The sequence below is a fragment of the Homo sapiens genome, chromosome 11 (assembly GCF_000001405.40).
Source record: "Homo sapiens chromosome 11, GRCh38.p14 Primary Assembly".
NCBI lineage: Eukaryota > Metazoa > Chordata > Mammalia > Primates > Hominidae > Homo > Homo sapiens.
In genome coordinates this window covers 77,217,719-77,245,620 of record NC_000011.10, presented here as the reverse complement: position 1 = coordinate 77,245,620, position 27,902 = coordinate 77,217,719, and the positions used below count along the sequence as shown (strand labels likewise).

General features: G+C 39.9%; 1 protein-coding gene across 4 annotated transcripts in view; it reads left to right on the top strand.

The window, feature by feature from the left end:
- The window catches only part of GDPD4 (glycerophosphodiester phosphodiesterase domain containing 4), an 85,142-nt gene that overhangs the window by 56,079 nt on the left and 1,161 nt on the right, over positions 1-27,902 (top strand). For 2 of the 4 annotated variants that reach the window (XM_011544834.1, NM_182833.3), the window contains exons 12-16: positions 119-340; positions 1,773-1,927; positions 12,449-12,596; positions 16,389-16,471; positions 17,705-17,757. In XM_011544834.1, coding sequence (XP_011543136.1) covers positions 119-340; positions 1,773-1,927; positions 12,449-12,596; positions 16,389-16,471; positions 17,705-17,757 — 661 coding nt within the window. Of the gene's footprint in view, positions 1-118; positions 341-1,772; positions 1,928-12,448; positions 12,597-16,388; positions 16,472-17,704; positions 17,758-21,255; positions 21,378-27,902 lie in introns of those variants that run through there. The other 2 variants (XM_047426558.1, XM_047426557.1) reach the window with 2 other exon arrangements.

The following is a 27,902-nucleotide window of genomic DNA, read 5'->3' as shown; positions in this document are numbered from 1 at the left end:
TCAGAGGGCCTGATGGATTGAATGATAATGGAGCAACTGAGGTAGAGCTGGATGTGTGGCTACATAGTAGGAGAACTGGAAAGTGCTTTTATGTATTTTTTGATGTATTTGTTTCTAGCTCAGGCCATTTTACAATATGAAACCTCTATCAGAGGCAGATAAAGAAAGAGCAAGAAATCAGTCAATTCCAACACTAGCTGATTTATTGACACTTGCAGAGAAGGAAAGAAAATTTGTGATATTTGATCTTCATCGCCCTCCACCAAAACATCCTCTCAGACACACATTTGTCCGCCAAGTAGTAAGCGTGATCCTTGCCTCTAAAATCGAGCAACATCTGGTAAGTCTATCTCAGTATTTATGACATAGGTTGGGAGGTGGGTAGCATGTCCTAGGAGCACAGTAGTTGAACTTGACCTACCTTGTACATCTACCCTGGGATCCTTAAGTAATTTTACTTCCTATGGAAATGAAGATTGTTACTTATACAGCTACATGTGGTAATCTAGGAATGACCCAGTTAAATTTATCTCAGTGGGGAAAATCATTGAGGCTGTTTGCTATTCCAAACCAAATGAAATGTCAGCACCCTGTTAAAGAGGAATATGTGTAATAACTATCTAATGTGACCTGCACCACACCAACATAGATCCATTAGAAAGAGCCTGGGTAACATTAAGGCTTTGAAGACTTGGCATGATGAATGATATAGAAAGGAGAGCTGGTTCTTATTTGAGCAGAGATTTGCTCGTAATGTTTTTCAGAAGCAACTCTGCATTTGGGCAGTCAGTTGTTCCAAATCCCATAAATTCTCAGAATATGGGAGTGCTGTGAGTGAAACAATTATAAGTCTTTTTACAAATGGAAGTATTTCATAGATGAGTCATAATAGCATCTCTGTTGGCAGGAAATGACTCCTCTCAAAGATGATTTTTTTTAAATAAAATAGAAGCAGGGCCTCCCTATGTTGCCCAGGCCTGTCTCAAACTCTTGGGCTCAAGGGATCCTCTTGCCTCGGCCTTCCAAAGTGCTAAGAATACAGGCATGAGCCACCACACCCAGCCTCAAAGATGATTTTTAACATCATTAACCAGAAAGATGTTTTTGATTCTCACTATTCACCCATATCTATCAACTAATCTACTTTGCTTGTATGAGTCTTTGTGTACACAGTAGGCCCTTGACACTTGATGTTAACTGGTAAATGGAGAGGTCATGAGAAAACTCAGCTCCAGAGTAGCCCTAGTGAAAGCCCCATTATAAGAGTTCATTAGAAGATACTAGCCCAGGGCTGGGCGCGGTGGCTCACGCCTGTAATCCCAGCACTTGGGAGGCCGAGGCGGGCGGATCATGAGGTCAGGAGATCGAGACCATCCTGGCTAATACGGTGGAACACCATCTCTACTAAAAATACAAAATACAATAAAAATACAAAAAATTAGCCGGGTGTGGTAGCGGGCGCCTGTAGTCCCAGCTACTTGGGAGGCTGAGGCAGGAGAATGGTATGAACCCGGGTGGCGGAGCTTACAGTGAGCCAAGATTGTGCCACTGCACTCCAGCCTGGGCGACAGAGCGAGACTCCATCTCAAAAACAAAACAAAACAAAGAAAATACTAGCCCATGTTGACTCTTTCACCAAGGACTAGACTCTCTCTCTCTACTCTCTGTAGAATACTACCTGTGCTGGAATGGAGCTCCCTCCATTCTCTATGGGGCTGTTCGTACCTGGATAGCTGATTATCTACTGAGGGACTTCTTGTTTCTCCTTAGAGATTTTTTGGTTGCCAGCTCATGATAGGCAATACGTCAGGTCCGTGGCTCCTGGTTTTCAGCATGTGGGCCGTTTAGTATCCATTGAAACCCTTGCTAAAAACAATATCAGTATAATAAATGTTGACTACAAGAAGTTGTTCCCTAATGGGTTAAGGTAAGTGTTTGACCACACCTCTCTTGGCACATATTGCCTTACTTACACAAAATACACATTCTAATTAAACTTCTTAACTTCCCCTTTCCATCTCGGAATTTCTGTGTGTGGTTATCTCCTTTGAATCTCCTTTCTTTTTCCTACCCCTTCCTCCCTCCCTCCCTCCCTCCCTCCCTGTGCCAACAAACATTTATCAAGTGTTGACTGTGTCCCTGGAACATAGACTTTAGCCTCTGCTGTGTACTCTAATCTTTCACCATTCAGTACACTTTTTTGTATGCTTGGCATTTCTGTTCTTATATAAAAGGTGGACGTTGAAAAGTCAGAACTCAAAACGTTTATTTCCTCCTACCATTACCAGATGGATGGCAGTACCTTGTAAATGGCTTTGTGATCCAGATAGCCATATTTCTGGAACGGATAATTAAGAATATAACAAAACTATTATTTAAAAAATGTAAAAATAGCTGAGCATGAGAAGAAACTAAAATTATTAACCACTGTATTTATAAATATACAATTAGAGACAAATTTTCAGAATTAAAAGCACCTGGGAATAAAATAACTTTTCCAAACTTAACTATTATTAAACATGCTTAATTTAATCCATATCCCCTTTGTCTTAGATTTAAGGTTAATTTTTTATATGATTCTAAATGCTTTAGAGACAAAGTCTTCCTTGGGGAGGGACAGAGGGAGGGAGATAACAGGTTAGAGATACATAATATATAGATATCTATTATCTACCTATCTATAATAGATTATAGATAATAGATATCCAAAGTCTCCTTTGGGTTTAGTAAAAGGCTGTTGCATGCATCTGTTTCTGTTCCTGCTTTTTCTGCCTTTCTGGCTATGGATTGATCATATAATAGTGTCTTTTTTTCTTTTAGCGTTGGAAAATTATATATGTTTTACTCTCTAATTCCCATTCAGAAGATTTTTCTTTACTCAACTACTCTTCTATTTTGAGCATATTTCTATTTTCTTCTACTTTTTTTTTCAAATAGAAAATGGCTCTAGAATGATTTCCTTCTCTCTTAATCCTGAGATTGATCTAGTAGTTGAAAAATAATTATGACTTCCATTTATTGAGCTATTATTATGTGTCAAGTTATATGTTTGCTAGACCTGGCCTAGCCATCAGCTACTTTGGTCTCTTTGGAAAAGTTTCTAATTGTCAGTTTTCTCCTTTGTAAATTAGAATAACAGTGGTACCTGCTGGAGTGGTTAAAAGGTTTAATGAGATTATTCTTGCTGTTTTAACTGAGAATGCTTTAAATGCATTGTTTTAATCAAAAGTATATGAGTATAGAATTGCCCTCTGTTTTATTTGTGATACTACAAAGTTTTTTAATGTTTTAAAGACATTTTAAAAATTTATATTATTTTTAATCGACATCATAACTGTATATATTTATAGGGTACAATGTGATGTTTTAATATATTTACACAATATGGAATGATTAAATCAAGCTAATTAACATATATCATATCTTTTTCATGTTAAGATATTTGAATTTACTCTCAGCTATTTTGAAATATACATTATTATTGACTGTAGTTACCCTGCTGTGCAATAGATCTCAAAACATTTCCCTCTATCTAACTGAAACTTTATACCTTTTGACCCAACATTTCCTCTCTCCCTCAACCCTTTGGTAACCAACATTCTACTTTTCAGTAACCAACATTAGCCTTTGGTAACCAACATTCTACTCTCTTTTTCTATAAGTTAGACTTATTTATTTATTTTTTTTTTGAGACAGAGTCTCGCTCTGTCACCAGGCTGGAGTGCAAAGGCCCAATCTTGGCTCGCTGCAACCTCCGCCTCTTGGATTCAAGCAGTTCTCCTGCCTCAGGCTGAGACTACAGGTGCACGCCACCATGCCCAGCTAATTTTCTGTATTTTTAGTAGAGATGGGGTTTCACCATGTTGGCCAGGATGGTCTCGATCTCTTGACCTCGTGATCCACCCGCCTCGGCATCCCAAAGTGTTGGGATTACAGGTGTGAGCCACTGTGCCAGGCCTTTTTTTTTTTTTTTTTTTTTTTTAAAGACAGGGTCTTGTTTTGTCACCCAGGCTGAAAGGCAGTGGCGTGATCTTGGCTCACTGCAGCCTCTACTTCCTGGGCTCAAGCTGTCCTCTTACCTCAGCTTCTCAAGTAGCTGGGACTACAGGCACATGCCAACACACTTGGCTAATTTTTAAATTCTGCATAGAGACGTGGTCTTGCTCAAGCAGTTTCCTCACCTCCACCTCCCAAAGTGCTGGAATTATAGGTGTGAGCCACCGTACCCCACTGTAAGTTTGACTTTTTTAGAGTCCACACGTAAGGGAGACCATGTGGTATTTGTCTTTCTTTGCGTGGCTTATTTCACTTACCATAATGTCGCCCATGCTCAACCATGTTTTCACAAGTGACAGAATTTCCTTCTTTTTAAAGGCTGAATAGTATTCCTTTGTATGTATATATTACATTTTCTTTACCCATTCATCTGTTTGATGGACACTTAGGTTGATTCCATATCTTGGCTACTGTGAATAGTGTTGCAATGAACATGGGAGTACAGATATCTCTTTGACATATTGATTTCACTTCCTTTGGATATATACTCAGTAGTGGGATTTCTGGATCATATGTATGTTAGTTCTATTTTTAGTTTTTTGAGGAACCTCCACTTTGTTTTCCATAATGGCTGTACTAATTTACATTCCCACCAACAGTGTGTAAGAGTTCCCTTTTCTCCACATCCTTGCCAGTACTTACTATCTCTCATCTTTTTTGTAATAGCCAAAATTTTGAGAGGTGTGAGATATCTCCTTGTGGTTTTAATTTGTATTTCCCTGATGATTAGTGATATTGAGTGTTTTCTTCATATGCTTGTTGGCTATTTGTGTCTTCTTTTGAGAAATATCTCTTCAGGTCCTTAGCCCATTTTTTCATTGGGTTATTTGTTTTTTTGCTATTAAATATTTTCTCCCATTTCATAGGTTTTCTCTTCACTCTGTTGATTGTTTCCTTTGCTGTGCAGACACTTTTTGGTTTGATGTAGTTCCGTTGGTCTATTTTTGCTTTTGTTACCTGTGCTTTTGGGGTCATATCCAAAAAATCATTGCCCAGAGACCAATGTTGTGGAGCTTTTCCCATTTTCTTCTAGTAGTTTTAGTTTCAGGTCTTACATTTAAGTCTTTAATCCATTTTGATTTGATTTTTGTATGTGGTATGAGATAAGGGCCTAATTTCATTCTTCTGCATGTGGCTATCCAATTTCTCAACACCATTTATTGAAGAGATTATCCTTTCCTCATTGTATGTTCTTGGCATCTTTGTTGAAATTCAATTAACTATAACGATTTGAATTTACATCTGGGCTCTCTATTCTGTTCCACTGGTATGTGTCTGTTTTTATGCCATTACCATGCTGTTTTGATTATCACATCTTTATAATGTATTTTGAAATTAGGGAATGTGATGTGTCCAGCCTTGTTCTTTTTGCACAAGATTGTCTTGGCTTTTAGAAATCATTAGTGGTCATACAAATTTAAGGATTTTTTTTTTATTTCTGTGAAAAATTACATTGGAAGTTTGAGAGGGATTATGTTGAATCTGTAGATTGCTTTGGGTAATTTTGACATTGTAACAATATTAAGTCTTTCAATCCATAAACACATAACTTTTCATTTATTTGTGTTTTTTTTAAATTCTTTCACCAATTTTTTTTTTTTTTCTGAGGCAGTCTTGCTCCGTCATCTAGGCTGGAGTGCAGTGGCACAATCTCTGCCCATTGCAACCTCTGCCTCCTGGGTTCAAGTGATTCTCCTGCTTCAACCTCCCAAGTAGCTGGGATTACAGGCACATACCACTGCACCCTGCTAATTTTTTATATTTTTAGTAGAGACCAGGTTTCCCCATGTTAGCCAGGCTGGTCTCAAACTCCTGACCTCAGGTGATCCACCCGCCTCAGCCCCCCAAAGTGCTGGGATTATAAGGTGTGAGCCACCGCACCCGGCCCCTTTCATCAGTGTTTCATAGTTTTTAGTGTACAGATCTTTCACCTCCTTGGTAAAGTTTTATTCCTAAGAATTCTATTTTTGTTGCTATTGTAAATGGGATTATTTTCTTACTTTCATCAGTTAGGTAGTTGTTAGTACATAGAAAGAAATGCTACTGGTTTTTGTATGTTGATTTTGTATCCTGCAACTTTGCAACCGATAAACTGAATGTATTAGTTTTAGTATTTTTGTGGATTCTTTAGGATTTTCTATATAAAAGGTCATGTCATCTGCAGAGACAATCTGACTTCTTTCTTATTTGGATGCCTTTTCTTTCTTTCTCTTGCCTAATTGCTCTGGCTAAGACAGTACTATGTCAAAAAGAAGTGGTGAGATTTGGCATCTTTGTCTTGTTCCTGATCTTAGAGGAAAAGCTTTCGACTGTTCACCATTGAGTATGATTTTAGTTGTGGCCATGTCCTGAATGGCCTTTATTGTATTTTGGTATATTCCTTCTATACATAATCTGTTGAGAGTTTTTATCATGAAAGGGTGTTGAATTTTGTTAAACGCTTTTTCTATATCTATTGAGATGATCATATGGTTTTTGTGTTTCATTCTGTTAATGCAGTGTGTCACATTTATTGATTTGCATATGATGAACCCTCCTTGTATCACGGAGGAATCCCACTTGATTATGGTGAATGATTCTTTTATGGTGCTGTTGAATTCAGTTTGTTAGTATTGTGTTGGGATTTTTATGTCTCAGGATTTCATTGGTGATATTGGCCTGTAATTTTCTTTTCTTGTAGTGTCCGTATCTTGCTTTGGTATCAAGGTAATGCTGGCCTAGTAAAATGAGTTTGGAATTATTCCCTCCACTTTATTTTTTTTGAAAGAGTTTGAGAAGGATTGATATTAGTTCTTCTTTAAGTGTTTGGTGGAATTCAGCAGTGAAGCCACTATGTCCTGGGCTTTTCTTTGTCGGTAGACTTTGTATTACTTTTTATTACTCCTTGTTATTGGTCTATTTTTAATGTTTTAAAAAAATGTTAAATAAAAAATTGTATTGAGGTGAAATTCACATAACATAATTTTTTTTTTTTTTTTTTGAGACGGAGTTTCGCTCTTGTTGCCCAGGCTGGAGTGCAATGGTGTGATCTCGGTTCACTGCAACCTCTGCCTCCCAGGTTCAAGTGATTCTCCTGCCTCAGCCTCCCAAGTAGCTGGGATTACAGGCTCACACCACCACACCTAGCTAATTTTTGTATTGTTAGTAGAGACGGGGTTTCATCATGTTGGCCAGGCTGGTCTCAAACTCCTGACCTCAGGTGATCCACCCACCTCGGCCTCCCAAAGTGCTGGGATTACAGGCATGAGCCACCACGCCCAGCCTAACATAAAATTTTAAAGTGAACAATTCAGTGACACTTAGTACATTTACATCGTTGTGCAATTGCCACCTTTAGTTCTAATGCATTTTGATACTGGAAGTTTTTATTTTTTCTGTTTTTCTTGATCAGTCTTGCTAGGGGTTTATGAATTTTAATCATTTCAAAACACTGAATTTTGGCTTTGTTATCTTTTTCCTATTGCACCTTTACTTTCCTATTTCATTGATTTCTGCTCTTTATAATTTTCACACTGACTTCAGTTTTAATTTGCTGTTCTTGCTAATAGATGGCTTTTTTAGGGTAGAAAATTAGGTGACCTGTTTTAGATCTTCTTTCTAATGTAAACATTTAAAGCTATAAACTTATTTGTTTTTTATTTTTTGAGATAGGGTCTCACTCTGTCACTCAGTTTGTAGTGCAGTGGCGTGATCTCGGCTCACTGCAACCTCTGGCATGAGCCATTGCGCCCAGCCTTAAAGCTCTAAATTTACTGTAAGCATTGCTTTAATTTTCTCCCACAAATTATGTTGATATATTGTTTCTTTGTTATCCAACTTAAAATATTTAAAGTTTTCTCATTTCTCATTAGACTCATGGATTATTTGGAAGTGTATTGCTAACTTTTTAAACATTTGAGGATTTTCTAGCTACTTCAGTTATTGATTTCTAATTTAAGCTTATTGTGATCAGAGAACAAACCTGTGTACTTTCAACCCTTTTAAATTCTATGGCTTAAATTCTAAACTTATTTTATGGCTCACTATATGGTTTATCTTGGTGAGCTTCTCATGTCCCCCTGAAGATTATGTGCCCTCTTCAGTTGTTGGGTGTAGTATTCTATAAATATCAATTAGTTCAAGTTGGTTGATAGGCTTTTTGAAAATTTTATATTCATTTTTTCTTCCTTTTTCTGTTGAGCTAATACAAAGGATTAGATTGCAGATCAAACATTCACATATCAGATAACCTACATACTGCCGAGATTTATCATTAATTTCAAGGATACAGCAGGCAATCAAGAGGCTCAAACAAAGCAAGGAGAGACATTGATTGTGGCTGTGCAGGTATCTTTATTTATTGGACATGTACTCTGTGGCCCAGAGTAATAGATGAGGCCTCCAAGTGAGTTTCTGCAGGGTTAACTCACACATAAGGGGAGCAGTTGAGTCATGAAACATCTCTATTTGATAGTCCCAGAGAGTTATCTAGTTTATGTGTCATGCTCCAGGGACCCATGCCTCATAAATCTGTTCCATGTTTATTTACAAAATATGTAATAAAGAAAGACTTAAACAGGAACATCCTTTTAAGAACATTACATATAAGGCTACTCTTCCTGGTAAATATTATTATTCTTTTTACAAAAGATCAGGTTATCCTGTTGAGAAGGAGACTTCTCAGACTTCTCAAGATCAAGACTTATTCCTTCTTTCTTCTGGCAGCAACTTCCCCAATCAAAGAAAAATGAATGGTTCCTTATACTGCTATCTGTCAGTTACCAATATATACCCAACTGTTAATATATCCAACTGTAATTGCGATTGTTGATTTGTGTGTGTGTGTGTGTGTGTGTTTCCTTCTTGTATTTTGAAACTCTTTTATTGGGTGCATTTTCACTTAGGATTATTAGATCTTGGTGAATTGGCCCCTTCATTATGAAATGTCCCTTGTTTAAGGTAATTAATCTTATCTAAAGTTTACTTTTTCTTGTATTAATATTGCCACACTGGCCGCCTTATAATTTGTGTTTGCTTAATAAGTCTTTTTCTATCTTTTGGCTTTCAACCACTTGGCATCTTTAAAGTGCATCTCTTATAAACAAAATTTTGTCTGTTCTTTTATATCTAGTAGGATAATCTCGGACTTTTAATTGGAATGTTAGGTCCAGTAATATTTAGTTCACCAATGAGAACACTTGGACACAGGATGGGGAACATCACACACCAGGGCCTGTTGTGGGGTGGGGAGACGGGGCAGGGATAGCATTAGGAGATATACCTAATGTAAATGATGAGTTGATGGGTGCAGAAAACCAACATGGCACATGTATACATATGTAACAAACCTGCACGTTGTGCACATGTACCCTAGAACTTTAATAACAAGAAAAAAAGGGAGGAAAAAAGGTTAACAATAGTGAACCTGAAAAAAAAATTTAGTTCACATATTAATCTAGTTAGGTTTACATTACCATCATGCTATTTTTTTTCTATTTGTCCTTTCTATTCCTTGTGGGGTTTTTTGATCACTCCTTCCCTCTCTTTTTATTTTTTAGTTAATCATTTTTTAGTATCTCATTCTATCTCTTCAATTTGTTTTTTTTTTTGTTTTTTTTTTGTTTTTAATAGAGACAAAGTCTCGCTCTGTCCCCCAGCCTGGGGTGCAGTGATGTGATCATTGTTCACTGTAGTCTCAAACTACTAGGCTCAAGCCATCTTTCTGCCTCAGCCTCCACAGTAGTTAGGACTATAGGCATGTGCCACCACACCTGGCTATTTTTTAAAATTTTTTTGTACAGACAGGGTCTCACTGTGTTGCCAGGCTGGTCTCAAACTCCTGGCCTCAAGCCATCCTCCTGCCTTGGCCTCCGAAAGCATTGGGATTATAGGCATGAGCTGCCATGTCTGGCTCCGGCTGAATTTTTACATCTTTGGATTATTTTTTACTGATTTCTCCAGAAACTGTAGCTGTCTAGTTACTCCTGCATTATTTTTTGAAAAGACTTTCTTCCATTGAATTGCTTTTGCATCTTTGTCAAAAATCATTTGTCACATTTGTATGGATCTATTGTATGGTTTTCGGTTCTGTTCCACTGATTTATGTGTCCATATCTCCTCTAATACCACACTAGCTTGCTTACTGTAGCTATATAATAAGTCTTAACATCAGATAGAGTGATTCCCTCTCACACTATTTTTTTTTCAGATTGTTTTAATTATTGTAGGGCTGTGCTTTTCCATATGAATCTTATAATCCACTTGCTAATTGTACAAAAAAACCTTGCTGCATCAAACTTACAGATCTATTTGAGGGAGAACTGACATCTTTACTACATTGAATTTCCAATCCATGAACACATATGTCACTCCACTTGTTTAAGAAAGTGGGTAAAGGATATGAACAGACACTTCTCAAAAGAAGACATACAAGCAACTAACAAACATATGAAAACATCCTCAGCATCACTAATCATCAGAGAGATACAAATCAAAACCCTGATGAGATACCATCTCACACCAGTCAGAATGGCTATTACTAAAAAGTCAAAAAAAAAAAAAAAAAAAAAAAAAAAACAGATATTGACAAGGTTGCAGAGAGAAGGAAATGCTTAGACACTGTTGGTGGGAATGTAAATTAGTTCAGCCCCTGGGGAAAGCAGTTTAGAGATTTCTCAAAGAACTAAAAATGTAACTACCATTTGACCCAGCAATCCCATTACTGGGCATCTACCCAAAGGAAAATAAATTGTTCTACTAAAAAGATACCTGCACTTGTATGTTTATTGCAGCACTATTCACAATAGCAGAGACATGGAATCAACCTAACTGCCCATCAGTGGTGGACTGGATAAAGAAAATGTGACACATATACACCATGGAATACTATGCAGCCATAAGAAAGAATGAAATCATGTCCTTTGCAGCACATAGATGAAGCTGGAGGCCATTATTCTAAGTGAATTAGTGCAGAGACAGAAGATCAAATACCACATGTTCTCACTTATAAGTGGGAGCTAAACATTGGGTACACATGGACATAAAGTTGGAAATGATAGACAATGGGGAGTCCAAAATGGAGGAGGGAGAGACAGGGGAAAGGGTTGGAAAACTACCTGTGGGGTACTATGTTCACTATTTGGGTAGCAGATTCAAACCTCAGTATCATGCAATATATCCATGTATTAAACCTGCACATGTATCTCCTGAATTTAAAATTTAAACAAACAAGGAATGTGATTGGTTTTTGAGTTTTGGTTTCAAAAGGTAAAAATAAGTAACTTTTTACTATTTTTTCCTAATTTTATTTTTAAAATTTATCTTTATCTGCAGGGATTGGTTCAGAGACAATTCTAACATATTGGATAACTAATTGCTAGCACCTCTGTTAAGGAGGCATTATTATTATTTTACAGTTTCTATACTGAGGCCAAGAATTTACTAAGCTCGTATATGACAGAACTGGGATTCAAACCCAGGCTTGTACAGAGCAGTTTCCAATATGCCATACCATTTGAGAGTTGAAAAAATTTTTTGAAGGCATTTACATGGTATGTTTTCTGAGAAATTGAATCCCTGAAAATGACAACTTAGCTGGAATTACTAGGTGTTCCTCCACTTATTTTCTCCCTGTCTCTATAAACAGTTCACAAGTATCCACTGACATTTAGTGCCATGGGACAAATTAGGTTTTCCCCCTATTTTCATTACTTGCAAAAATTCCTTATATTTGAAATTTAATAAGTTCACCAGATTGGTACTCATTTATTTATTTTTTCAATTAATATTTGTGGAGCCTGGCATTATGCTAGGTATTGAGTATCCAGAGACAAATAAGACATAGTCTCTGCTTTTAGTTTGCTTAGAGTCAAGTAAAGAACTGATAAATGAGCAGATCATTCGAGTACGGGGTGATAAGTGCTCTGATAGAAGCGAGTATATAGGTGCTGCTACATAGTAGCATGCCAGAGCCAGCTCATACCAGCTTGTTATTAAATATTCAGAAACTCTGCAAATTGGTTCTACCAATGGTAGCTTACAGTTGGCTATGGTAGGAGTGTTTTTACCATGGAAATTTGCATATGCTACAATAGGGTTTTCCTTTTTCCTTTTCCCCATTCTTTTTTTTTTTTTTTTTTTCAATATGTTTTCTTTCTTCCTTTTTATTATTCTCCTTAGGACATTTGGTTTACCAGCACACCACTGTTGCTACAGGAGCAGAGGTGCTAAATCCAATCCTTTATCTTATTGTACTATGAGCCCATTCTGTCACATCGTATCATGAATTGTCCCTGGATCAGCTGCTTCTGGTGATTTAGGCAACAGCCTTTCACAAACATGGTGGCTGTTCTCCTTTTAGATGATGAGAATGAAACTTGATCTAAATCCCCTGTGGGTTCTGTTTTTGTTCCAGAGATTATAAAGCAGCTAACATCCATATCAACGTATACACCGTCAATGAGCCTTGGCTTTTCTCACTGGCCTGGTGCTCCAGGATTAACTCAGTGACCACAGACAACATTGGGCTCCTGAGTCAGCTTGATCACCCTCACTTCTTCATGGTGAGCTGGTTGTCCAGATTGTTCTTCCAGGCTTGGTATGATAGCAGTGCAGGCCCCCCAGCCCTGTGTTGCCCACTGTGCCATCCCCTGGGCAGCCACTTAAGAGTACAGACTTCTATGAATATTGGAGATGTGGTATTTTCCATTCTCACAGATCCTTCTGGGATTTTCAGGCAAAAATTAGTGTTGTTATAATAATTGACATTTATTGAATCCTTACAATGTGCTTGACATGCGTTATGTCATTTAACCCTTTGAATTGGCCACTGTTATCATCTTCATGAGGAAACTGAAGCTCAAAGATATCTTTGCATGTGGTTTCATGAGGCAGGATTCAGAATGAGGTCTGACTTCAGAGTTTTGTTACTGTAGCCCCACCTTTGTAGAGGCATGGCAACAATTGACAACGGCATGGAGAGTGGGGAGAAAACCAAGCGTACTTGACTCCAAAGTGGAAACTGTGTGCCCTAACAAATGGCTTTTGAAGAGGGTAGCCAGTGTCCAGTTGCATGTTCTAGGCCTTCTGTTGCTTACTGCCAGAAGCTTGAGAACCTGAAGACCTGGTTTACGATCCCAGCCAAATCCTATCACTATCTGTGGAGGGAGCCCTAGCTAACCAGTTACTGCTACAGAACTTGTTCTTATCTGTACAGAGAGTAGGTTGACTGAGTGGGACACAATAGCATACAACAGAAAACAGTTTAATTTCGCTGCATTGATTCTTTAAACCTGGTCTGTGATGTAGGCCTTTCTCTGCCCCTGAATGAAATCTCACTTAGGTCCTGTAGCTTTTCCAGTCACTGTTAGATAACTTTTAGAAGTTCACTTTTAGTCATCAAAAAGCCTCACTTCAGAATTAAGAGTCCAATCCCAAGTAATAACCCAAACTCCAAATGGCCTTGAAAGTTAAAGCCTTTGTCAGAGAAGCCTAAGAGGGAAGGGGCCTCAAGTCACCTCCTCCAGATCTCCACCCTCTGGCCTGAGCTTCTGACCTGTTCAGGGTCAGGACCAGGGGAAAAGGGATCCAGAGTCAAGGCACAGTCTTACAGGGCCAGTAACTGCATCTAGGCCCTCTGGTAGACAGGAGAAATCGCTGACTTCTTACTATGGTGGCTTGGTCAGCTTCCTGGAGATGACCCTGAAGGGAGCTTTGGATGGCAGGTCACTCAGCACAGGTGGAGCCTTTCCACCCACCTGTCCCCATATAACTCCCCTTCATGTATATACTATGTGTTTTTCTAACATTTTAAAATCCAGTCATTACAAAAATGCATAATTTAGAAAGCAGCACACCCCTCCATAATCCTATCCCCTGAATCAGTAATGTCTCAAAGTTGTCCCTTTGGGAGGTACACATTTACTTAAATGATGCTATTTCTGAATGCGTTTTTTTCATTTTAATATTTAAATGAATAAATCCATGTGATTCAAAAATCAAAAAGTTTAAAAGGATATATGTAAGAAAACCAATCTTCCTTCCACACCTAGTCTAGGCATTTTTAAAGGACCCAATGCATGGTTCCCAGCCTATGCCATGTGTCATTTTATTCAGGGAGGTGAGGCTGGTGTCCCAGAGGTCTTAACAGGAAGCCTACACTCCAGAGTTAGACTGATTGAGATTTAGATTCAGATCTTGGCTCCATTACTTACTGTGTGAATGTGGAAATACTAGTTAATGTGTTTGTGGTTTTTGGCTTTTTTGTTTCTTCTGTTTGAAAATTGGGGATAATAATAGTGCAGTAGAAACACTTGTGTCCAACATAATCTGGTCTGGTCATTGGTCTCGTAATTGAGAAAATTAAAGTGAGGAATCATTTAAAAATGATATACACTTTATCAGTTAGCTTTTAATGCTTAATAAAAACTACCTAAAACTTAGTGTCTTAAACAAATATTTATCATGTCTCAATTCTGGCTGATGGCTAGGTGGTGTCTCTGGTTTGAGCCAAGTCAGCTGGGCTGGATAGTCTAGGATGCCTTGTTCATTTGTCTAGAGGCGCACCTGGAATGACCAAGTTTCTCTTCGTGTCGTCGCTCATCCTCAAGGCAGCTAGCTGGAGTGTGTTCACCTAGTGGAGATGGGTTCCCAACAGCAAGAGAGAGCAAGCCCCAAAGCACATGGACTTTTCAAAGTTCTCACAGTGTTATGTTTGCTGATGTTCCATTGGCCAAGGAAAATCACCTGGCCAAATTCAGATTCAGGGTGGGAGAGAAACAGACTTCACCTCTTGATAGGGAGGCACAGCTAAGTCACGTTGTGTAGGGGCCTGCATATAGGTTTGGAAGGAATTTTGTGGTCATTTTTATAAACAGTATGCCACATACATACTTCACAAATTTTATTTTAAAATATTCATTCACCTTTTGACAGTCATTTCTTTGAGGATATTTCTGCTGATCGAGTTCTATGTTCTCTCATTTAAACATCCAGATGAACTAGCTAGGATTTCTAACTGTTTGTTTTAAGCAGAACAGGAACTTAAAGTCATTAGGACAATCAATCTGAATGAGCAATCTACCTAGATCTTTATAATCCCTCAAACCCTTGTAGTGTTTCACCTACACCTAATCTAATTGCTGTCTATTCTTTAATGATCTATTTTGTCCTCATTGAGTTTTTCAAAGCATTTGACTTAGTTTCTTTGAAAATGACATACTTTTTTCACTCAGATCTCACAAATTTAAGCAGCATCTAATTACATTGCACTATTACAATAACAAGTACAGTTGACTTAAGCCATTTGGGAAACAAGGATAACTGATTCTTTGTGAACATTCTGCTTATCTGGTAGGCCTCTTGGAGCAATCAGCCAACTACAGCAGCCCTCAGTCAATATTTTTCCCAGAGGGGATTAAGAGCCTCAGTTCAGTGGAAGTTGGTTAAGATTTTCTACTAGTAGGGCTATTATGAGGCTTAAATCTGTAAATACCCCTGAAGTGCTTAGAATACCTGCCTGGCTCCTGTTAATTGCTTATTGTTAATTATGATCATTAGTGTTATTAATTTTATTATTCAGCTCAAGGAAAGACCTTGGGATAGGGTGGAGAGTGGTCTGAGAAAGGATAAAATGTGCCAGCCCTATTAGCATCAAGTGGAATTAGAGAGGGCACAATTGAGGTGGAAAGGGAGCATCAAACTCAATGAGAGGACCCAGAAGACAGAGCTCTGGGAAATAGATGATTTGGGCAAGGAGCATAGAAGAGGAGCATGTAGGTAAGGGGTAATTGTACTTCAGCATTCTTAATTAAAGTGTGATACTTTAGAACAATGGTTCCCAAATGCTGGCTTACAGACACATGGCTTCAGCATCACCTGGGAATGTGTTAAAAATGCAGAGATTCTCATTCCTTAGGTGTCTAGTGAGACCCAGAAACCTGTATTACTAAAAGCTGCCCCGGGAGACTTGGCTGCACAGCCAGGTTTGAGAAGCCATGCCTTGAAAACAGCAGTAGAAGTCAAGAACCTGGACTGTGGTCTTGGGTCCAGAATAGACTTGTTGTGTGACTTCTCTGGGACCCCCTCTGCCCTCTGTCTTGGGAGATGAAAGGTGAGATGAAAGGTGTGAAGTGTTCTATTCCCTCTAGAGCCCCCTGCATGTATAAGGGTGACTGTTAGGACACTTGCAGGGACTGTCTGTGTTTGAGAATGCCACATCAATCAAGGTTCCTTGGCCTGTCTATCCCCTCTTCCTCTCCTCCTCCAGCCCTGGCAGCAGAGCAAGGGACTTAGACCGTATGATCCAAAATCCCTTCTAACTGTAAAGTTCTTTCACTGTGGTTTATGTTTTTCAGACACCAAAGTTCTATGTGTTCATGTGGCTCCTTGCAGATATCATTTCTGTGCTTTTTATTGTTGCCATATTTTGTTTTCACTGGTAAGTATATATATAATTTTAAATGAATTTTTTCCAAAATAAATGGATTATTATAGGAAATTGAGAAAAATAAGAGTTACGCTCTTCCCGTAATCCCACATGGCAAGATGGCGTTTATAATCTGAATCTCTCTTCTCATGTAGTCTGCAGTTCCTCACACCCCTTTGACCTCCCCCAAATAAGACAATATTTTCAGGATAGGGACTGTCACTAAAGCTTAGTCAAGCCTATTACTATGGATTCAATGTGGAGCAGTTGAAAGATGACAGGGCTTGAATATTGTCCAGAACAAGTGCCTCCACCTTCCCATCTTCCATGAAATGGCATAGCAGTGTGCAAAGAGCAAGTTCATAAACCAGGAAGACTGGGTTTTAGCTCTGGCTTTGTCCCTTAGTTGCTAGGTGACCCTGGGAAAACAACTGCTTCTTTCTGGGCCATAATATTTTTTTTGTTCGTTTTTTTGAGATGGGGTCTCAGTCTATTGCCCAGGCTGGAGTGCGGTGGCATGCAGTGGCATGATCTCGGCTCACTGCAGCCTCCACCTCCTGGGTTCAAGTGATTCTCCTGCCTCAGCCTCCCGAGTAGCTGGGATTACAGGTGCCTGCCACTGTGCCTGGCTAATTTTTTTTTTTTTTTTTTTTTTTTTTTTTGAGACGGAGTCTTGCTCTGTCACCCAGGCTGGAGTATAGTGTCACGATCTCGGCTCACTGCAACCTCCGCCTCCTGGGTTCAAGCGATTCTCCTGCCTCAGCCTCCCGAGTAGCTGGAACTACAGGCACCACCATGCCCAGCTAATTTTTTTTAAAAATATTTTTAGTAGAGGTGGGGTTTCACCATATTGGTCAGGCTGGTCTTGAACTCCTGACCTTGTGATCTGCCCGCCTCGGCCTCCCAAAGTGCCGGGATTACAGGGGTGAGCCACCCTGCCTGGCCCATGCCTGGCTAATTTTTGTATTTTTAGTAGAGATGGGGTTTCACCATGTTGGCCCCGCCTCAGGTGATCCGCCTGCCTCAGCCTCCCAAAGTGCTGGCATTACAGGTGTGAGCCACCGTGCCTCGCCCATAATCTTTTTATCTGTAGAAGAAAATGACATTTGGGAATCCTTGCAGGCAAATGCTATAGGATTGTAAGTTTCAAGATGGAAGGGGGAAGAAGATCCTGGAGGAGGAACGTTAGAAGAGACCATGATTCTTTAGACCCCTTCATTTCATGGATGGTCTGCTTCCTTCTAGGCGGAGAGAGACTGAAAAAGAAAAATTGTTTGAAACCTCCAGCACTCGCACAGGTAAAGTCAGAGGCCTAGCCCACTCCTGTCTCTTCATCCCTACCCATTGCTTCCAGGAGACAGAGGCAGCTTTTCATGTCCCTGACAAGAGCTGAGGGTGTCTGGAAAGTTGGGGGTGGGGTTGGGGGAGGGACCAGGGGAAGTATAGGCTGGGCATAGATTCTGGAGGACTCTGTACATCAGGCTTCAGATTTTAGATTTCATCCTCTAAGCAGTGAGGCCCCTTGGAAGATTTCAAGCATGGGTGTTTACTTCTTCATATATTCATGTATCATACAGCCACTGAGTCCACACTTTGTGCAAGGCACTTAGAGAGGGGCTGAAGATAACCGAAAGATGTCTCTGGAGGGTGGCCTGAGAGAGGGGAGGGGCTGGTCCTTAAAGAGCAGTGAGGAAGAAGGCAAAAGTATAGCATTGACATCACTGGGCCAGGCATCTAGGTCCAGGACAGAGTAGCTGCCATGCCCATTAGGGGGAAGGTGCTTTATGGGTATCATTTGTGGGTGATATATGTTGGAGGCTAGAGGAAGAAAACTTCAGCGGTCCTGGAATTGCTAAACCAGAGTCAAGTCACTGCATATTGGCAGTTAGGAGATGGCATTATCGCTTTCATTCACACAAGGAAGCGACATGGTTAGATTTCTGTGTAAAGGGCTGAGGAAGTGAATTAGGCTTAGTAAGGGGAAGGGATGCTAGAGTTTCTTTGAGGGTTGTGAGGATGATCACACAGTAAGTTTTGGAAGCCAATGCAGTGTCAAAGGGAAACCAATTAGGAGGCAGAAGACTGCGCGGTGTGGGATATAATTTCCTTCCGCAACTCCTGGAGACTTAATTAAAGTTGGAACAGTCACAAAATCATGAATTTAATTTAATTTCTTATGGACAATGGTGAAGCTCCTGATATTCCATGTACCAGCTGGCAGATGAGTGGAACTGATACAACACTTAGGGTTGCAGGAATGAATCCACAGGGATCATGAAAAACTAAGTTTAGAAATTTGAATAAATTAAATAGAAGGCAATGGTCTTTCATATGCTGTGAAACTGGAGGTTTAAGCCAAGTTTACCCAGGTCTGAGGCAGGGCGACCTCAAGTTACATGGTTACTTGAGTTACAAATTACATGGAATTTAAGATCACTCTACTGGCTACGTTACAAAGTCTGAAGCTAACTGACGATTGCAGCTAGTTTATGATTATATCAGTAGTTGTTCCTTAGTAAGCTAGGGCTGCCATAACAAAATACCATAGACTGGGTGGCTTGAACAACAGAAATTTATTTTCTCACAGTTCTGGAGGCTAGAAATCCCAGATCAAGGTGCTGGCAAATTTGGTGAGGAGCCCTAGTGAGCACTGTCTTCTTAGCTTGAATGCAGCTGCCTTCTCACTGTGTGTTCACATGGCCTTTTCTGTGTGTGTGCTTGGGAGAGTGGGATCTCGGGTCTCTCTTCCTCTTCTCATAAGGGCACCAGTCCTGTTGGATTAGGGCCCCACCCTTATGGCTTCATTTAACCTTAATTACTCCTGAAGTGCCCTGTCTCCAAATACAGTCACACTGAGGGTTAGGACTCTGACATATGAAATTGGAGTTGGGGGGACATAATTCAGCCCATAACAATAATCCAGCCAAGCAGTGATAGAACATGGAGATGAGGAGGAAACATGGCTGGGAAAGAAGTTTTGAAAGTAAAATTGAAGAACTATATAAACCTAGATAAAAGAGGTGGCTTAGAAAAAGTAACAGTTAACTTGACCCTACCCACTACTATGCTAAAATGGTGATGAGAAAAGGTGAGTAGAAAATAAATGAAGGATTTTCTGTTTTTAAGAGCTCTTAGGTTGCCTATTAGAGAAACCAGTTTTTCTTGATCTAAGCAGAAAGAAAAGGCATTGGAAAGCTATTTGGGTACCTCAAAGAGATATCTAGAAGGTGCAGGACCAAGTTTAGAATCAGGGAAGGAACAAGGAAGACTAGACAGAAGTCAGGACCTCAGCCATAACCACAGCCCAGATCCATTAAAGTTGAGGAGAATGGAGCCTCATTTGCTAAATACGGAGTGCCATGTGTTGCCCCATGCCACCTCCAGGATGGGCACGTACTGCTGCACCTACTGATGCCATGTCTACCACCAGAAGGCCTCTCTCTAGTGTGAGGGGGTATTTTTCAGCAATTTAAGTCAATTTTGTTGTCTTCTGTCGTATGTAGTTTCTTATGTAAAGTTTCAGTTTTCTTACCCCTGTTCTTCTGTTTGTAACGTGTCTTTTTTCCTCTGGCTACATTTTAAGATTATTCCTTTTATTATTGGTTTTTAGTAGTTTGATTATGGCTTAACTTCGTGCGTGTGCGTGCATGTGAGAGGGAGAGAGAGACTATCTTGATTAGGGTTTGCTGAAATTCTTAGATCTGTCAGAGTATAATTTTCATCAAATTGGACATAATTTTAGTCTTTATTTCTTCAAATATTTTTCTGCCTCTGCTCCACCACTGCTTTCTGGGATTCCAGTTACACAGCTGTTTGTTAGTATATTATCCCATAGGTTACTGAGACTTTTTTTTTTTTTTTGAGACAGAGTCTTGCTCTGTTGCCCAGGCTGGAGTGCAGTGGCATGATCTCAGCTCACTGCAGCCTCCACCTCCCAGTTTCAAGCGATTCTCCTGCCTCAGTCTTCTGAGTAGTCATTTAAAATATTTAATTAATTTCCTTTATTTTTGGATAGATTCTATTGCTGTGTTTACTAGTTTTTTGTTTTGCTTGTTTAGAGGCAAGGTCTCACTCTTTCGCCCAAGTCTGGAGTATAGTGGCATGATCATGGTTCACTGCAACCTTGAACTCCTGGGCTCAAACAATCCTCCTGCCTTAGCCTCCCTAGTATCTGGGACCACAGGCACAAACCATTATGACTGGCTAATTAAAAAAAAAAAAAGGTAGAGATGGCATCTCACTATGTTGCCCAGGCTGATCTCAAACTCCTGACCTCAAGCAGTCGGCTTGCCTTGGCCTCCTAAAGCACTGGAATTACAGATGTGAGCTACCCTGCCCAGCCTATATTAGTTTTTTATTGCCGTATTTTAAAAAATTACTCCAAACCTAGCAGCTTAACACTATACAAATGTATTATCTCACAGACATGGGTTAGACAGTTCCTTTACTTACTCTTTACAGGGTATCAATTGGGGCTACAATCTTATTTGAGGTTTGTGGTCCTCTTCCAGGCTCACTGCTTGTTAGCAGAATTAAAAGTTCCTCATAGTTGTAGAAGTGAAGTCATCTCTGTTTTCTCAATGGCTGTTAGCAGGGTTTTGGTCTGAGCTCCTAGAGGTGACCCTCAAGTCCTATCCACATGGTCCTCACAACATGGCAGCTTACTTCTTCAAAGCCAACAACAGAATATCTCTCCAGTCTGCTATGATGAAGTCTGTGTAATCTATGATGAAGTCTATGTAATGTAATGTAATGTAAATCATTGGAGTAATTATCCCAGAACCTTTGTCATATAGCATAACCTAATCAAGAGAGGTAACTATCCTGAGGTCTGTTCCAAGATGACTGAATAGAAACAGCTCCGGTCTGCAGCTCCCAGCGTGATTGACGCAGAAGACGGGTGATTTCTGCATTTCCAACTGAGGTACCTGGTTCATCTCACTGGGACTGGTTGGACAGTGGGTGCAGCCCAGGGAGGGCAAGCAGAAGCAGGGCAGGACATCACCTCACCTGGGAAATGCAAGGGGTCGGGGGATTTCCCTTTCTTAGTCAAGGGAAGCCGTGACAGACTGTACCAGGAAAATCGAGACACGCCAGCCTTAATACTGCACTTTTCCAACGGTCTTAGCAAACAGCATGCCAGGAGATTATATCCCTGCCTGGTTCAGCAGGTCCCACGCCCACAGAGCCTTGCTCACCACTAGCGCAGCAGTCCAGATGGAACTGCAAGGCCACAGCCTGGCTAGGGGAGGGGTGTCTGCCATTGCTGAGGCTTGAGTAGGTAAACAAAGCAGCCAGGACGCTCAAATTAGGTGGAGCCCACCGGAGCTCAAGGAGGCCCCTGCCTCTGTAGACTCCACCTCTGGGGGCAGGGCATAGCTGAACAAAAGGCAGCAGAAACTTCTGCAGACTAAAACGTCCCTGTCTGACAGCTCTGAAGAGAGTAGTGGTTCTCTCAGCACAGTGTTTGAGCTCTGAGAACAGACAGACTGCTTCCTCAAGTGGGTCCCTGACCCCCGTGTATCCTAACTGGGAGACACCGCCCAGTAGAGGCCGACTGACAGGTCATACAGCCAGGTGCCCCTCTGAGACAAAGCTTCCAGAGTAAGAATCAGGCAGCAATATTTGCTGTTCTGCAGCCTCTGCTGGTGATACCCAGGCAAACAGGGTCTGGAGTGGACCTCCAGCAAACTCCCCCAATAGACCTGCAGCTGAGGGACCTGACTGTTTGTTAGAAGGAAAACTAACAAACAGAAAGGAATAGCATCAACAGAAAGGACATCCATAACCAAAACCCCATCTGTAGATCACCATCATCAAAGACCAAGGGTAGATAAAACCACAAAGATGGGGAGAAACCAGACTGCCTCTTCTCCTCCAAAGGATTGCAGCTCCTTGCCAGCAACAGAACAAAGCTGGATGGAGAATGACTTTGACAAGCTGACAGAAGTAGGCTTCAGAAGGTCGGTAATAACAAACTTCTCCAAGCGAAAGGAGGATGTTCGAACCCATTGCAAGGAAGCTAAAAACCTTCAAAAAAGACGAATGGCTAACTAGAATAAACAGTGTAGAGAAGACCTTAAATGACCTGATGGAGCTGAAAACCATGGCATGAGAACTACGTGACACATGCACAAGCTTCAGTAGCTGATTTGATCAAGTGGAAGAAAGGGTATCAGTGATTGAAGATCAAATTAATGAAATGAAGTGAGAAGAGAAGTAGAGTAAAAAGAAATGAACAAAGCCTCCAAGAAATATGGGACTACGTGAAAAGACCAAATCTACATTTGATTGGTGTACCTGAAAGTGACGGGGAGAATGGAACCAAGTTAGAAAACACTCTTCAGGATATTATCCAGGAGAACATCCCCAACCTAGCAAGGCAGGCCAACATTCAAATTCAGGAAATACAGAGACCACCACAAAGGTACTCCTCAAGAAGAGCAACCCCAGGACACATAATTGTCAGATTCACAAAGGTTGAAATGAAGGAAAAAATGTTAAGGGCAGCCAGAGAGAAAGGTCGGGTTACCCACAAAGGGAAGCCCATCAGACTAACAGCGGATCTCTCAGCAGAAACTTTACAAGCCAGAAGAGAGTGGGGGCCAATATTCAACATTCTTAAAGAAAAGAAAAGAATTTTCAACCCAGAATTTCATATCCAGCCAAACTAAGCTTCATAAGTGAAAGAGAAATAAATCACATCCTTTACAGACAAGCAAATGCTGAGAGATTTTGTCACCACCAGGCCTGCCCTAAAAGAGCTCCTGAAGGAAGCACTAAACATGGAAAGGAACAACCAGTACCAGCCACTGCAAAAACATGCCAAACTGTAAAGACCGTCAAAGCTAGGAAGAAACTGCATCAACTAACAAGCAAAATAACCAGCTAACATCATAATGACAGCATTAAATTCACAGATAAGAATATTAACCTTAAATGTAAATGGGCTAAATGCCCCAATTAAAAGACACAGACTGGCAAATTGGATAGAGTCAAGACCCATCAGTGTGCTGTATTCAGGAGCCCCATCTCAAGTGCAGACACACACATAGGCTCAAAATAAAGGGAGGGAGGAAGATCTACCAAGCAAATGGAAAGCAAAAAAGCAGGGGTTGCAATCCTAGTCTCTGATAAAACAGACTTTAAACCAACAAAGATCAAAAGAGACAAGGCCATTACATAATGGTAAAGGGATCAATTCAACAAGAGCTAACTATCCTAAATATATATGCACCCAATACAGGAGCACCCAGATTCATAAAGCAAGTCCTTAGTGACCTACAAAGAGACTTAGACTCCAACACAATAATAATGGGAGACTTTAACACCCCACTGTCAATATTAGACAGATCAACGAGACAGAAGGTTAACAAGGATATCCAGGACTTAAACTCAGCTCTGCACCCAGCGGACCTAATAGACAGCTACAGAACTGTCCACCCCAAATCAACAGAATATACATTCTTCTCAGCACCACATTGCACTCATTCCAAAACTGACCACATAGTTGGAAGTAAAGCACTCCTCAGCAAATGTAAAAGAACAGAAATCACAACAAACTGTCTCTCAGACCACAGTGCAATCAAATTAGATCTCAGGATTAAGAAACTCACTCAAAACCTCTCAACTACATGGAAACTGAACAACCTGCTCCTGAATGACTACTGGGTACATAACGAAATGAAGGCAGAAATAAAGATGGTCTTTGAAACCAATGAGAAAAAAGACATAACATACCAGAATCTCTGGGACACATGTAAAGCAGTGTGTAGAGGGAAATTTATCGCACTAGGTGCCCACAAGGGAAAGCAGGAAAGATCTAAAATTGACACTGTAACATCACAATTAAAAGCACTAGAGAAGCAAGAGCAAACAAATTTAATAGCAGAAGGCAAGAAATAACTAAGATCAGAGCAGAACTGAAGGAGATAGAGACACAAAAAAACCCTTCAAAAAAATCAATCCAGGAGCTGGTTTTTTGAAAAGATAAAATTGATAGACCACTAGCAAGAATAATAGAGAAGAATCAATTAGATGCAATAAAAAAATGCTAAAGGGGATATCACCACTGATCCCACAGAAATACAAACTACCATCAGAGAATACTATAAACTCTCCACGCAAATAAACTAGAAAATCTAGAAGAAATGGATAAATTCCTGGACACCCTCCCACGACTAAACCAGCAAAGATCACCCTCCCAAAACTAAAGTGAGAAAGGTCGGGTTACCCACCCGAATTCAGAAGTTGAATCCCTGAATAGACCAATAACAGGGTCTGAAATTGAGGCAATAATTAAGAGCCTACCAACCAAAAAAAGTCCAGGACCAGACGGATTCACAGCTGAATTCTACCAGAGATACAAAGAGGAGCTGGTACTATTTCTTCTGAAACTATTCCAATCAATAGAAAAAGAGGGAATCCTCCCTCACTCATTTTATGAGGCCAGCATCATCCTGATACCAAAGCCTGGCAGAGACACAACAAAAAAAGAGAATTTTAGACCAATATCCCTGATGAACATTGATGTGAAAATCCTCAATAAAATACTGGCAAACCGAATCCAGCAGCACATCAAAAAGCTAATCTACCAAGATCAAGTTGGCTTCATCCCTGGGATGCAAGGCTGGTTCAACATATGCAAATCAATAAATGTAATCCATCACATAAACAGAATCAATGACAAAAACCACGTGATTATCTCAATAGATGCAGAAAAGGCCTTTGACAACATTCAACAGCCCTTCATGCTAAAAACTCTCAATAAACTAGCTATTGATGGGACATATCTCAAAATAATAAGAGCTATTTATGACAAACCAACAGCCAATATACTGAATGGGTAAAAACTGGAAGCATTCCCTTTGAAAACTGGCACAAGACAGGGATGCCCTTTCTCACCACTCCTATTCAACATAGTGTTGGAAGTTCTGGCCAGGGCAATCAGGCAAGAGAAAGAAATAAAGGGTATTCAATTAGGAAGAGAGGAAGTCAAATTGTCCCTGTTTGCAGATGACATGATTGTATATTTAGAAAACCCCATCGTCTCAGCCCAAAGTCTCCTTAAGCTGATCAGCAACTTCTGCAAAGTCTCAGGATACAAAATCACCCCATAGTCTCAGCCCAAAATCTCCTTAAGCTGATAAGCAACTTCAGCAAAATCTCAGGATACAAAATCAATGTGCAAAACTCACAAGCATTCCTATACACCAATAACAGACAAACAGCCAAATCATGAGTGAACTCCCATTCACAGTTGCTCCAAAGAGAATAAAATACCTAGGAATCCAACTTACAAGGCATTGCCAAGACAATCCTAAGCAAAAAGAACAAAGCTGGAGGCATCAAGCTACCTGACTTCAAACTATACTACAAGGCTACAGTAACCAAAACAGCATGGTACTGGTACCAAAACAGAGATATAGACCAATGGAACAGAACAGAGCCCTCAGAATATAACACCACACATCTATAACCATCTGATCTTTGACAAACCTGACAAAAACAAGAAATGGGGAAAGGATTCCCTATTTAATAAATGGTGCTGGGAAAACTGGCTAGCCATATGTAGAAAGCTGAAACTGGATCTCTTCCTTACTCCTTATACAAAAATTAATTCAAGATGGAGTAAAGGCTTAAATGTTAGACCTAAAACCATAAAAACCCTAGAAGAAAACCTAGGCAATACCATTCAGGACATAGGCATGGGCAAGGACTTCATGACTAAAACACCAAAAGCAATGGCAACAAAAGCCAAAATAGACAAATGGGATCTAATTAAAGAGCTTCTGCACAGCAAAACAAACTGCCATCGGAGTGAACAGGTAACCTACAGAATGGGAGAAAATTTTTGCAATCTACCCATCTAACAAAGGGCTAATACCTGGAATCTACAAAGAACTTAAACAAATTTACAAGAACAACCCCATCAGAAAGTGGGCAAAGGATATGAACAGACACTTCTCAAAAGAAGACCTTTATGCAGCCAACAGACACATGAAAAAATGCTCATCGTCACTGATCATGTGAGAAATGCAAAACAAAACCACAATGAGATACCATCTCACACCAGTTAGAATGGCAATCATTAAAAAGTCAGGAAACAACAGGTGCTGGAGAGGATGTGGAGAAATAGGAACACTTTTACACTGTTGGTAGGAGTGTAAACTAGTTCAACCATTGTGGAAGACAGTGTGGCGATTCCTCGAGGATCTAGAACTAGAAATACCATTTGACCCAGTGATCCCATTACTGGGTATATACCCAAAGGATTATAAATCATGTTACCATAAAGACACATGCACACGTATTGTTTATTGCGGCACTATTCACAATAGCAAAGACTTGGAACCAACCCAAATGTCCATCAGTGATAGACTGGATTAAGAAAATGTAGCACATATACACCATGGAATATTATGCAGCCACAAAAAAGGATGAGTTCATGTCCTTTGTAGGGACATGGATGAAGCTGGAAACCGTCATTCTGAGCAAACCATCACAAGGACAGAAAACCAAACACCGCATGTTCTCACTCATAGGAGGGAATTGAACAATGAGAACACTTGCATACAGGGCAGGGAACATCACACACCACAGCCTGTCGTGGGGTGGGGGTATGGGGGAGGGATAGCATTAGGAGAAATACCTAATGTAAATGACGAGTTGATGGGTGCAGCAAACCAACATGGCACATGTATACATATGTAACAAACCTGCACATTGTGCACATGTACCCTAGAACTTAAAGTATAATAATAAAAGAGCGGTAACTATCCTATGATAACCCCAAAGATTCACAGCCTCTGGTATATATCCCTTAGATCAGAAAAATATATCAGAAAAAATAGACTTTAATCAAAAAAGCCTTCACAAGGGAAGGCATATGATTGATCACTAAAAACTACAAAACTTTAGTGAGAGAAAGAATGCCCAAATAAATGGAGCAATCATGTTCATGAATTAGAAAAGTTATAAAGATATTGTCATGGAATTGATCTAAAAATTCCATTCAAATCCAATAAAAATTCCCTTTCTCCTATAAAGCTGACAAAAAAAAAAATGGAAGCTCATGTTTGTAGCTGTTTCTTCCAGATCGAATTACACTCAGGTTAAAAAAAAAGCTTTGAATATTTATAACAACTAAAAAACTTTTAAAAATTAATTAATAAAAATAAAAGGTAAATCTAAGCAGAAAACAAAACCTGAGTTCTGGGCTTTAGATTCTCACACTCTTCTAGATTTTGGCCATGCAATTTCTCTGTATATTGTAAACGCATAGATAATTTTAAGATGTTTTCTTGTTTTTGTATATCATCCAGTTTTTAATTTGTCTTTGGTAGAAGGATTGGTCTTGATCTCCTAGCTCCATTATTAGAAGTATCTACCATCTAATTTTTTTTTCTGTTGGACAGAAATTGTTTATTGAGCATTTACTGTG